This window comes from Homo sapiens, chromosome 7 (genome assembly GCF_000001405.40).
Source record: "Homo sapiens chromosome 7, GRCh38.p14 Primary Assembly".
Lineage (NCBI taxonomy): Eukaryota > Metazoa > Chordata > Mammalia > Primates > Hominidae > Homo > Homo sapiens.
This window is the reverse complement of record NC_000007.14, coordinates 108,568,626-108,581,339: the sequence shown is the minus strand read 5'-3', so window position 1 is coordinate 108,581,339 and position 12,714 is coordinate 108,568,626. Positions and strand designations below refer to the sequence as shown.

The window sequence follows — 12,714 nt, the reverse complement described above, 5'->3', positions numbered from 1 at the left end:
ATAAAGGGTATGTGGGTGGTAATCTTTCAGTTCTTACATTTTCAAAATGCATTCATTTGGTCTCATCCTCTATTAATAATGTGTCCATTTAGGCCTCAGTTCAAAAGCACTTTCCCCTCAGATCTTTGAAGACACTGCTCCATCATTTCAGCACCTGATATTATTTTTCATAAATATGTTAAACTAATTATTACTGCTTAGTAAGGAAACTTCTTTTGACCCCACTACCCCACCAAATACTGCTCATTTCTTTGCAACTCTTCCCAACAAAACTCTATACGTTGCTTTTCTAGATTTGTTGTTTTTCATTTCTTTTCCTTTTTTAATGATTTATTTTTTGGTGAATCCTTTGGGTTCTCCCACAACATGAGACCATTTTGTAGGCACTTACTGGAAACTTTATTATAAAAGTGTACATGGAGTACAAGATGAGTAATTTTTCATTTATGCATATATGCAAAGTAAAAAAATTTGTTGATTCCAGCAAGACTCTGTAATTAACTATTCATTTATATTAGTATTTTAATCTGTTTCTGTTCATCACATTATTTTGCACAACCAAAGGATATTTCACCAAAATATGTATAGAGGTAGAGTAAAAGTGTTACGGGATCCTTGGGGTGTCATTTTGCCAGCTGGAAACCTCTGTGGCCGGCAGCCCCTTCTGCCTGAGTATTGCTCACACCCACTGGGGTCATTCTGCCCACTTGGCCATGGAGACAGTGCTCGGCTTGTGCTACTGGCCCAGATCCCAAATGAGCCAAGGGCAAGCCAGGTGCAGCATGGTGAGGGGTGTGTGAGCGAGCAAGCATAGGGTCCAGCCACTGCACACAGCCAGGCATGCCAGCTGCTGTGGTGGGGTGGACAGCTCCGGGTGCCGGCACAGGTGCCAGCTCTGTGCAAGGCTACAGCTGGACCAGATGTACCACACACAGCTTCTGCTGCAGGCACTCACGTCTGGACAAGGGGAACACAGTGGCACCCAGAAGCTTGGAGACACCAGGAACTATAGAGCCCCAAAGAGGGTGTCACAGCCCTGGCTTAGGGAGCCCCTAGGTCTGGGCTCCCCAAAGGGTACAGCTCTTCTCTCTTCATCTCCCACAACATGGCAAATGGGGGGCTGTGTGTTTCGGCCCTGTTTGTGTTATGGCTCTTTCAGTCCCGCCATTTGGTGGATCTGGAGTTCTTGTCCCATGTCCAGGAAGAATGAGGTATGCAGACAACTGGAGGGTGACCAAGGCAGAGAGGACCTTCATTGAGCAACAGAACAGCTCTCAGGGAACCCAAAGTGGGTAGCTCCTTTCCACAGGCAGGTAGTCCCTACAAGTTAAGGAGACCCAAAGTAGGTAGCTCCTTCCTGCAAGTGGTAGTCCCCACATCTGTGTAAGTCTGGCTGAATCTGGGATTTTTGTGGGCTCAAAAGGGAGGAAGCGTGTGCTGCTTAGTCCATGGTTAGCCATGGAGGGGGTCTGGAAAAAGCACCATAAGTTCTCACTTCAGGAGGCAGACTACACCTGGAACTGGCAGTCCAGCCCCCAGGCTTCACACTGTTCCTGGCTTGAAGGAGAGGTTTCACTGGAGACTGGCCCCTTCCTGCCAGGAACCTGTCTGCCTCTTGCCATCATCAACATGCTGGCCACAGCACCATGGCTGTCCATGCTGAGGAGCACCTGCAGGCCCATGCTGAGCCACCTTCAGCCCCACCTCAGCCTCCCTCCCATGCTTATTGGCACCCAAAGTCCAGTGAGGACTGAGGCAGCAGGAAGCTGGTGTGTCAGTGCCACCCCAAGCACATGCACACCTGGCCAAGTTGCAACAGCACGTGGGCTGGGCCTCAACTTTGGTCCAAAATTGGAGCAGGCACTGGGAGCAGGGAGTCCACGGAATGGGAGCAAGCACTTCCAAGCCTGCAGAGGGAGGGGTCTTCCCAGGCACCCTAAGAGCACAGGGTGGCTGCAGGTGTGCCTGGGAGCAGAGGGCTCCCACCTGTTCCCGGCTCCTGCAGTCTCCATGGAGCGCACAGCCCGGCTTCGCCTCCTCCACTGCAACTGGCGTTCCTTCAGCAGCTGTTCCAGATGGGCCACTGCCACCACCAAAAGGATTAGACTGTCTTGGTTTGTTTTGTGTAGCTATAAAGACATACTTGCGGCTGGGTAATTTCTAAAGAAAAGAGGTTTATTTGGCTTACACTTCTGAGGCTGTGCATCATGGCTCCAGCATCTGCTTCTGGTGAGGGCCTCAGACTGCTTCCACTCATGGCAGAAGGCAAAGGGGAACCAGCGTATACAGAGATCACATGACGAGAGAGGAACCAAGGGAGAGAAACAGGGGAGGTGTCAGGCTCTTTTTAACAACTATCTCTTGTGGGAACTAATAAAGAACTCACTCCTGAGAAAGGGCATTAAACTATTTGTGAGGGATCTACCCCTATGACCCTAACATTTCTCATTAGGCCCCACTTCCAACACTGGGGATCAAATTTCAGCATGAGGTTTAGAGTGGACAAACATCCAAACCCTAGTAGACTATAAGATGATTTCCCATTTATCTTAATAGTCACAGTTTGATTTTTCTGTCTGCAAATACTGTCTTATTGTAAAACTATAACAACAAAAATTATTAGCTTTTATTTTCTTGGGAGAATAATAAAGGAGTTTTCATTTACATAATAGTCCTCTTATAATTTGCTTGATGATGGCTATTGTAGGTATAAAATACTCCTGAGGAAACAATATTATTCAAGTAGCTACAACAGTGATCAAAAGAAGAAAAGCTTGTTGATGAAATGTAGGCTAAAGCCCATCATAATGGGCTCTGATAGGATAATCTTTTTCAATCATAGTAAATTCAAATACTTTTTTTTTAATAATGCAACACAAGTACCAACATAATATATGCTATCATCCTTGCTTTGGTATGTGTTCATGCACATGTTCCAAAGGTTTATTATATGATTTTTTTTCACTTTTATTTAGGCCAGTATTTACCAAACTTTTACTGTGGCACACTTGGATATGGTTAAGGGTACTTAGTAAAAATGTTTCCATGGTCCAATAAATTGGGCAAACAATATTTGGTATCGCTACCAAAGATTCACAACATAGATTAGTATGTTGAGAATTCTGAGCAGCTCACTGTCTCAGTCTGTTCAGACTTGCATAACAAGATGCCATAGACTGCGTGGCTTATAAAAAACAGAACTTTATTTCTCACAGTTCTAGGGGCTAAGAAGTCTAAGATGAAGGCACTAGCAGATTGACTGTCTGGTGACAGCCCTCTTCCTCATAGATCTTCTCTAACCTCACATGTAGAAAAAAATGAGTGATCTCCCTTGGGCCCTTTTTACAAGGGCACTAATCCCATTCATGAGAATTCTGCCTCCTGACCTAATTACCCAAAGGCCCTATCTACTAATACTATAGGAATATGGGGAGGACATAACCATTCAAACCCTAGCACTCACCTAAAAAGAAACATATTTAGCAAGGTTTGAATCCCAACCCAGATTTCACAAATCTATTTAAACATGATTTTTTTTTTCATAGCATACTTCTTACTCCTGCAGAACATCATTCTGAAGAATAAGCTATTGCTACATGGATTGAATCATAGCTGATACTCTACTAAAAAGTCCACGATAAAAATTATGTCCACAAATGTTTTGTCAAATGATTTAAGAGCACTTAATCTTGCTGCCATTCTGTTTTAAACCTGCTTCAATCAGGCTCACCCCTAAAACTTGATAGAAATTGGCATCCAGGTCATTTTTGATATCAGTATTGCTAAAAACAACAATGGTTAGTTCTCAATCATCGTCTTACTGGATTTAGTGGCAGTATTTTACAAAGTTGATCACTTTCTACTTCTTTCTTTTCTTTTTTTTTTTCTTGAGATAGAGTCTCACTTTGTCATCCAGGCTGGAGTGCAGTGGCATGATCTCAACTCATCGCAACCTCCACCTCCTGGATTCAGGTGATTCTCCTGCCTCAGCCTCTCAAGTAGCTGGGATTACAGGCACCTGCCACCACACCTGGCTAATTTTTGTATTTTTAGTAGAGGCAGGGTTTCATCATGTTGGCCAAGCTGGTCTCGAACTCCTGACCTCAAGCAATCCACCTGCCTCGGCCTCCCAAAGTCCTAGGTTTACAGGCGTGAGTCACCATGCCCAGCCGCTTTCTACTTCTTGATATATTTATTTCACTTCCTTCCAAGACACAAAACTCATTACTCACTGGCTGCTGCTTATCAGATGCCTGTGTAGGCTCCTCATCTTCTTTTTGCATTTTTAGAGTACCAGGGGACTCAGTTATTCAATTGCTCTTTATGTCTCTACACATTCCCTCAGTAATTTCATCTACTCTCAAAGTTTTAAGTATCACATGTTTTGACAATCCCAAAATGCATATTTCCAGCTTCACTCTCTCTCCCAAACTTCAGACATATCTCCACCCATTTACTCATCATCTCAAATTTGATATATCTCAGCTGAACTTCTGATTTTTCCTCCTAAATTTCTTTCTGCAGCCTCTCCCATCTTAAAGGCAACTCTGTATTTCCAGTTACTCAGAACATGAAGCTTAGAATCATAGTTTTCTCCTCTGTCTTTCACACCTACATCTAATCCATAAGCAAATCCTGGTAGCTGTACTTGCAGAATACATCTGGAATCCAACCACTTCCTACCACTTCCACTGCTGCCACCCTCGTGCGATGCACAAGCTGCAACAATTTCTCATCCTAGAATACTGAAATAGCCTCCAAACTCTCTCCTTGTTCCACCATTGCCCCTCTGTCTATTCTGAACAAAGCACGTGGAGTGACCCTTTTAAAATGATTTAAAGATCAAGTCATTTATCTGCTCCAAGCTCAGCCACCATATCACATTCCAAAATCAAATCCTTTACAAAGGTTGGCAAGGCCCTAGGTGATCTGTAGGGCTGCTTTCAACCCCTCTTATCTATGAATTCATCTCCTTCTACTCTGGTTTGCTCACTGGCCTCCAGTTATGCGCACTTCTTTGCCATTCCTACAACTTCCCACATATGCTTCCACCTTCAGTACAAACAATTCCCTTCAAGCATCTGCTCAAATTTACCTTCTCAATGAGGCCAACACTGACAATCCTGTCAAAAATTGCAACACATCCTCAACCTGCCTGCCCTCACAATTCTCCTCTCCTGTGCTACATTTTTTTTCCATACTTTATCAGTTTATAATTTATTCATATGGTTATTGCTTGTCTTTTTCCATAAGAATGTAATCACCCCCACCATCCTGCTCACCAGTTACGGTGTATCATAATGAGTAACAGTAAAAAGAACTGCACAATAAATTTAGGTAGCTCCACATTAGGGCAACCTCTGGAGAGAAGTTTGCGAGGGAGTTGAGTAACAAAGTTGAGATATGAGGAAGAATATGAATTTCAAAGGAAAAAGTAGGCCTGCATGGTAGGAAACACATGTACCACACATCTGTTACCTCCCATTGACTTTGGTTGTTAGATGTAAATGTAAACCAAATGTAAGTTCACATTACTTCATCTGTTCTGACACCATCATTAAAGAAATCCTGAAGTAAGCAGGTTAAGACAAGAACTGTCCTTATCTGTTGATGCAATATTCTATTAAAAAAATCTGATACTAGAATCTTAAATTCAATCTCTGAATTACATTGTCAGGGCTAATCATTGGGGCTTCTTTTCCTAGCTATCAGTTTTCCTTAAATGTCTGACATTCTTTGGACATCAGTATGTGTTTATGAAGGATTAGATCAAATTGCACAGATAGCTGAGAAAAGCAGTTTCTTCAGCAGTTATGTGTCTGCATTAGACCTCCTTTTTGAATAGAAGCGATGGTTCTCAGTAAATTGTCAGGCAGTGGCCAATCATAGCTCACTGCAGCCTTCAACTCCTCCCACCTCAGCTTCCAGAGTATCTGGGATTATGGGTGCATGTCATCACACCCGGCTAAATTGTCAGGGTTTTTTAACCAGCAGGTACCCACAGGTGAGTATGTGGTCTGCATGCAGAGAAATTGTTTCCCACCAAGCCAACATAAGGAGGCTTTACTCTGGGAGTGCTGCCATTTCTCACCAGCACCCCCTTGACCTTCAAGTGAAAATTCACTTCACCTTTACTCTGCCTTCACCTCACACCCTAATACCCTCAATGGGTAAGTCTTCCCCCAAATAACCCCATTCTTTCAAGACTTGTTTAGTCCCTTGCCTGAGGAAAAAGTTACTTTTGTTAACAACTGTTTACCTGGAGGGAGTAGCTAAGAGCAGAGCTTTCCAATGCAGTTCTTCAATAAATTAATATGAATGAATTCTGCACCCTCACCCAAATCCAATCCTTAAAGCTTCTCCAGGACATCCTGATTGTGGTTTTTCTGATTTATCTCCCAAGCCACACTCTTCTGCTTTATATATTACTGGAATGTCTCAAAACTTGATTTTTTTTAAAATAGGCTACAGATAATCCTCAGCCCAAAATTCAAGGTATAGCTAATTTTATTATTATCAAACAAAACTAGTAGATATAACTTCCAGGAAATAAGTTACATAAATATAACAGAATAAATTCATTTTCTTAAGTTTCAAATTAAAGATGATTAAGAAATACAGCTTTATGTAAAGTTTCTGCTTTTTCTCAACCACGCCTAAAGAGGAAAGAACTGGCAGCAGGAACACTTGCTCCTAGGAAACAAATACAACAAAATTATAATTAAAAAGATCTTCAAGCTATCAAAATTTGTGAGAGAAGGATGGTAAGAATGCAGTAGAAATTACCAAATGACAAACAAAATCCTATCAGTTTTCAGGTTGGTCAAAAGTAACTTCATGAATATAGCCTGTGATCAGCATATGTCCCATAGCTTATATGCCCTCTATACCTCCAGAGTTGCATAATAAACTTTTAACAATAAAACAACAACGAATATCAGGTTGTAAATATTTATATTTCTCTCACATACAATGTTGTATGAGACACTTGTTTTAATATGTATCCATAGGATTAATACTCATATGGAGTATAATGTGGAAAAGTGCAGAACTAAAGAAATAAGTCTATCCGAAAACAAAAGCACACATTTCTCAGGATTTAAAAATATTGCACATAGTAAGGTTGCACAGAAATTACTGGCTGGTTTTACAAACAGAATGAGGTATCAGTCAATCTCTAGATAAAGATGAGAGAGAGGATAAACTACACACACACAAACACATAAATCCATACTAAGACCTAAGAGTGCCAACAACTAAGAAAGAAATATGAAAAAGCTATGTAAGTAGCTATGATTTCAACACTACAAAATCATTTTTAGGCTGGAACCAAACACATAACAATCTCTTGGCAATATTTCGTTAAGTTTTCAACTTTTTTCCAGCCTAAATGACTATGGGCAATAAAACCATTTCCTTTACCCCAGTTCTACTGTAGAAAGGCACAGCGCTGTGGTAAATATCAAACCATTCCTTTCTCAACCTTTCAGTAGCAATTAACCAAGATACTGTTCTCCTTTACTGAATGACTCAATTATACAGTTTCATGTACACTCTGCAACGCAAGTCACAGATGTCATAGAACATGCAACTTTGAATTAGTAAAGGTTTCACTGCAAAAATCATTAGGTTCACACAATTTAAATCTACAATTAACTTTTAAAGTTTAATCAGGTAAACTCAATATTTTCTTGGTAATAATACTGGTGATATTAGTGAGCCCAAGGGCAGGTAGAGAAAAAGCACTAGGCAAAATTACGTGTTTTTTAAAGAAACTTTCCTAATCAGGGAAATAATTAGCATTTTGTCTACTCGTTGAATGTTGAATTTGTCAAAAAAAAAAAACCCTTAAATATATTTAATAGCTATATCAAATTGTTTAAAGTGAAATCATGCACTTGTCAAAATAGTTCACAGAAAATTGTTTAGCATCAAAGATAATGAGGAAGAGTCAACCAGTTGGATTTAGTGAGAATAGAATAAGAACTACTGTCCTGAACAGTCAGTGTATGTAGTAACCATATTTCCTCTTCGTTGAGTGACAGTCCTGCAGTGCTTGCTAGATCCATGAAATCTATTTTCAGTCTGTACTGTATGCTGATTGGTAGAGTCAAAACCACTAAAAGAAAACATTTTCTCCATATCTTCAAACATGTCATCAAATAATCCACCTCCAAAAGAAAATTCTTGGAAATGATGCCTTTGTCTACTGGAACCACCATCCTGGCGTGTCTGGAAATGATTTTCAAAACGCTTCTTGGATCCAGTGTTTTGGTTTTGACCAAAAAAGCCAAAGTCTTTAAATAAGTCATCAAAATTGAAGTTAAATGACTGCTCAAAAGAACTTCCACTACCTCTTTGTCCTTTACCACTAGTAAAAGCACTGTGTCCAAGTGTATCATACTCTTTTCGTCTATTAGCATCTGAGAGTGTTTCATATGCTGAAAGTGACAAAAATATTTTTAGTAACTGAAGGTAAAATATTCAAAATTACATATATTCAAATCTCTTCAAGCAAGTGAACTGAATACTATTATTTTAGGGAAGAATTTCGCATCAGAAATAAAAGCAAAACACTACAAATATAAGCATCAAGTTAATCAAAATTATAAAATAAAGCAGAAACTGTCTTATTAACTGCTGAGTTATCAGCAGTTGGCACAATGCCATCTGCAATACTCAATAAAGTTATTAAATGTTACCATTACTACAAATAAACATGTGGGCAACAATCAGAGTTCTTTAATCTTCATATTATTCGTGTGAAATCATTAATTGTATTAAAAAATTAAACCATCAACTATAACCAATTAATAGGAATTAAGATTTTGCACCTCCTTACTAAAGTAAACTGTTTAATTCTAACTCCCTACTCAGTTACCTCCATCCAACAATAATTACTGAATGCTCAGCAGGTGCAATTTGTTTTAGAGCTAGTCTGAAGTCAAAATTTGTTCCAATTTTTTCTTTGAAGACAAATATGGCTTTGAAAAGCAGATCAAGTGAATAAAGCACTTTAGAGTCTAGTTTAATTTTTAAGTCTTTAATGTTTAAAATGTAAAATATTCTGTTTCATAAGTTAGTTGATAAGAATTTTGGGTACCTAAAATTCTTTTTTGTCATAGAAGCAACAGTGATCTTATAAATAATATAGAATAGATTTTCAATATTTTTAGATACGTATACCAATAAAATTATCTATTATTCTTTCATATATTTATTCAGGAATCAAAGCATCTGTGATAAGAAAATAATCTCAGAGAATCACCCAATATTTATACATAAATCCCACTCCACCTCCCATCTCCACAAAACCTTCAAATACAAACACTTCTTAGCTATCATTCTCCTTACTAGTTAATACCCATGACACTTCAGAGATTGTCATTTATTTACCTTCTGCAATCTCTCTGAATTTTGCTTCAGCATCCGGGCTCTTATTTTTGTCAGGGTGGTACTTCATGGCCAACTTGTGAAAGGCCTTCTTGATTTGGCGCTCTGATGCCGATTTTGGCACACCTAAGATATCATAGTAGCTTTTTGAGGCCAGAATTAATTCTGTTATCATTAAAATGCAGATTGCAAAGATGAAAATTGACTGGGGAGTAGCCATTTCTAATATCCTAAAACAGAAAAGAAAAAAAAATGTTATGGATGGAGCTAATCTTAAAACGTTTTTCTTTTAAAAGAAATCCAACACAAGGTAAACCTAATGCAGTATCAAAATAGTAAGCATACAGTATCTATTACCTGTCCACATGTAATTTCACTTTTAGTTTTATAACTCTCAAACTGGCTTAACCTTATTGAGAACAAAAATAATTCTTGGCTTTGTCTGTCTACTAATACTCTGGCCATACACAGAGGAGATAGAAAATTATCAATAACTGACTTTTAACCAGTTTATATTGAAGATTCATCATATGCAAGCATTGTAAGAAAAAAAAAGAAAACCAAATAATATAAGATCCCAACTTTCCTTTCAAGACTTCATATCCTGAAAGTAATAATGTATTTAACTTCACAGAAAAAAAAAACATTAAAAAAAAAAGGTGGCGCACCAAGGTAAATAGCCCAGTATATCTAAATTAGTATTATTAATCTCGCTCCAAAAATTCAGCTTTCATTTCAGCAGGTGAGCCAAGGACTGCAAATAGAGAATCTTAATATCACAATACTAATACTGACAATACAATAGAATGTTGTCTTTTTCCCAAATGTAAGATCCCAAATGTTTAACCAGGAAGCATGGCTAAATATTGTTTAAAACTCATGATGAACAGAATTTAAGATTTCTGCTAAAGCTGCCAGAAAAATGAACTTTGATAGTTTGTACTGTGGTTAAGGCAGATTCTTACTTTCACAAACTCAGTAGTTAAAATATTTCTTTTACCTTTAAACCATTAAAGAAATGTTAACTTAGAATTCTTGACAATATGTATTCAATGACTTGAGATTCAAAACGAAGGGATGGATCCTGTTTTTTGAATACGGGACCACCAGAGTCCTTAGTAACCTATAATGCCATAATAAGGCTGACGAAAAACACTACGGTTTGTGGAAATTGCCTGGCTTCCTCTCCAGCGGCCTTTCCTGAGAGTAATTAGCAGGCAGGTAGATTACTTATTTCCAGAGAGTTACTCGTAGTCACGGGTACCAAGAATCAAGAACCACTTCTCGGTTTAAGGAACACAACAGTGTGTCCCATGGACGCTGCGTCAACTGCAGGTTGCTCCCTAGTCAAAGGGCGGATCTAAAACTGACAGGGAGGCGCCTCACTGGTTCAGCAGACGTTATTCCACGGTCTCAAGGTGGACATCTAATGATTTTTTTTTAGCAGACTAGTTTTGTATTGTACAGACTTCTCATCCCCAAGACGGCCCCGCCAGCCAGCAGCCCGTGCCTTATTCCCCAGCCTCGGTGGGCGGCTGGGCTAGACCCTCCAACCTTCACCTAAAGGCGACTGGCACTTTCCCTGCCCGCCCAGGCCCCGCCGCAGAAGCTGCCCGAGACCCGGGCTCTAATCCGGCGCCCGTGAAAGCCGGCGCCACAACCCAAAACACGATTCTGTGATGCGGCTGTCTCCGTTCTTCCATTCTCTCGGCCAAAAACATGCAGCCCATTGTCCCTGCGGCGACCGTGGCGGACACCGAGGCCAAGTCAGCTCACAAAGACAGGCCTGGGCTACGGGGACCCTCCGAACTCCCCTCCCCACGACCCCGGCCTCGTCCCTCACCTGCACCCTCCGACTACTGCTGCTCCTCCACAGAGCTGAGGCGCTGGCGACCCTGACGATCGGCTCGGGTCGGCAGCTTGGGCCCGGCCCCTCACCGCGGCCTCCCGGAGCTGGCACGCACCCTAATCTCGGTCGTACACCGACCTAGCGCTCCTCCTTCCCCGCCGGCGCCCAGTCCCCTCTCAGCCAGCTCCTCACAGGCAGGAGGTAGCCGCTGGCGCCACCACCTCAGAAGACCTACACGAAACGCTTCCCCATTGGCTTCTGCCTCCCCACGTGATCCCGGCGCCCTACGCGCACGTGGAAAACTGTTGTTGCTGCTAGGGCTGTGCGCCACTTCCGGCTTCAACCCCCGAAAAGGCGGTGCTTAAACCGGAGGAGGCGGAAGTGAGTCGACAGACGAGGCGGCTTTCCCGGCAGAATGCTAGCGCAGGCGCAGGGGCTCGAGAGGCCTGGACCTGTGGCGCATCCTCAGTGAGGAGGGCCGCCCTGCATCCGTCGCCGGCCCCGGTCTCCAGGGGCCTCACCCGAGTCATGCCCCGCTATTGCGCAGCGATTTGTTGTAAGAACCGCCGGGGACGAAACAATAAAGACCGGAAGCTGAGTTTTTATCCGTAAGTTGTTTCTGGAGCAGAAGCGTCAGCCTCGCCGTGAGGCCTTGGACCTGTGGCCTTTGGGCTTGGGTGTCTCCTGTCCGCTCTGCCAGTGAGTCCTCAGCTCTCCGTACGTGGCCCGTCGCCCGCGGCAAGACGGAGGGAAGGCGCTAGTTCAGTTTAGCTAGCAATGCCCTTCTTGCGCGAGGACTGCTGGCTGGTGGCGAGGCCCAGGAGCCTGTTTGGGTGTTAACAGTTAAAACAGTAAAGTTTGCGCGGGCTTCTGTGGTTTTCAGTCTTTTCCCCACTTCACGTGATCTCATTTCATTGAACAACATTAACCACCATTTAAGATACGTGAAACCTGCGAAGTGGAAAGGTGCACGCAAAGTTAATTTACACCCCCCGCGAGGTAGGTCGCATAGGTATAATTTCATCCCACTTTTCTCCTGAGGAAACTGAGGCCCGGAATGATTAGGTAACCGACCTTGAAAGTTTAGTGTCAGAGCCAGAATTATAAACTAGTCTTCTGCTTAGGGCTGTAGATACTCTGCGGAGAACAAGGTTTTATTCTGTTACTCTGAATTACTAGAGCCACGATATATTTCCATCAAACTACTGAAGCACTGATTTTTATTCAGAAGTACAGACAAGCAGTGTCGTATAATAATTAGGGGTCCAGGCTTCAATGCTAGATCCTGGTTCCACTATTCTGTAGCTTAATGACCTCTTGGAAAGTATTTAAGCTTTGGTGTCTCACATATCTCATCTGTAACATGGAGATGTTAATAGTACTCACATGATTAATAACACATGAAAAGCAACATATTTAAAATACTGCATTTCCATTTTTTCTTGTATTTAAAAACAATTCATTTAGATCTA

At 41.5% G+C, this 12,714-nt stretch overlaps 2 protein-coding genes across 8 annotated transcripts in view, besides 5 other annotated features; one reads left to right on the top strand and one right to left on the bottom strand.

Annotated features, from left to right (window-relative positions):
- Positions 1,325 to 1,833: an enhancer, noted in NCBI's record as "H3K27ac-H3K4me1 hESC enhancer chr7:108219951-108220459 (GRCh37/hg19 assembly coordinates)". NCBI's record gives its function as "activates a minimal SCP1, AML or CMV promoter by ChIP-STARR-seq in naive and primed H9 embryonic stem cells {active_cell/tissue: H9 hESC(naive and primed)}" and the evidence as "EXISTENCE:reporter gene assay evidence [ECO:0000049][PMID:30033119]".
- Positions 1,834 to 2,344: an enhancer, noted in NCBI's record as "H3K27ac-H3K4me1 hESC enhancer chr7:108219440-108219950 (GRCh37/hg19 assembly coordinates)". NCBI's record gives its function as "activates a minimal SCP1, AML or CMV promoter by ChIP-STARR-seq in naive H9 embryonic stem cells {active_cell/tissue: H9 hESC(naive)}" and the evidence as "EXISTENCE:reporter gene assay evidence [ECO:0000049][PMID:30033119]".
- On the bottom strand, positions 6,490 to 11,466 carry DNAJB9 (DnaJ heat shock protein family (Hsp40) member B9). Its single transcript, NM_012328.3, has 3 exons — positions 11,237 to 11,466; positions 9,397 to 9,623; positions 6,490 to 8,441 (listed from the first exon to the last, which is right to left on the bottom strand). Exons 2-3 carry the CDS (start codon positions 9,611 to 9,613, stop codon positions 7,987 to 7,989), a joined length of 672 nt encoding a protein of 223 aa, NP_036460.1. The 5' UTR covers positions 9,614 to 9,623; positions 11,237 to 11,466; the 3' UTR covers positions 6,490 to 7,986.
- Positions 11,311 to 12,038: an enhancer, noted in NCBI's record as "NANOG-H3K27ac-H3K4me1 hESC enhancer chr7:108209746-108210473 (GRCh37/hg19 assembly coordinates)". NCBI's record gives its function as "activates a minimal SCP1, AML or CMV promoter by ChIP-STARR-seq in primed H9 embryonic stem cells {active_cell/tissue: H9 hESC(primed)}" and the evidence as "EXISTENCE:reporter gene assay evidence [ECO:0000049][PMID:30033119]".
- Positions 11,311 to 12,051: a biological region, named in NCBI's record as "NANOG-H3K27ac-H3K4me1 hESC enhancer GRCh37_chr7:108209746-108210473".
- Positions 11,572 to 12,051: an enhancer, noted in NCBI's record as "active region_26504". NCBI's record gives its function as "activates an Ori minimal core promoter by ATAC-STARR-seq in GM12878 lymphoblastoid cells {active_cell/tissue: GM12878}" and the evidence as "EXISTENCE:reporter gene assay evidence [ECO:0000049][PMID:35858748]".
- The window catches only part of THAP5 (THAP domain containing 5), a 28,010-nt gene continuing 26,867 nt past the window's right edge, over positions 11,572 to 12,714 (top strand). For 4 of the 7 annotated variants that reach the window (XR_007059987.1, XM_047419934.1, NM_001287601.1 and 1 more), the window contains exon 1: positions 11,572 to 11,850. Coding sequence is in view for 2 of the 7 variants with exons in the window: in XM_047419934.1 (XP_047275890.1) it covers positions 11,771 to 11,850 (80 nt within the window). In the remaining 5 variants the exon portion in view is untranslated. Of the gene's footprint in view, positions 11,851 to 11,886; positions 12,242 to 12,714 lie in introns of those variants that run through there. The other 3 variants (NM_001287598.1, NM_182529.3, NM_001130475.3) reach the window with 2 other exon arrangements.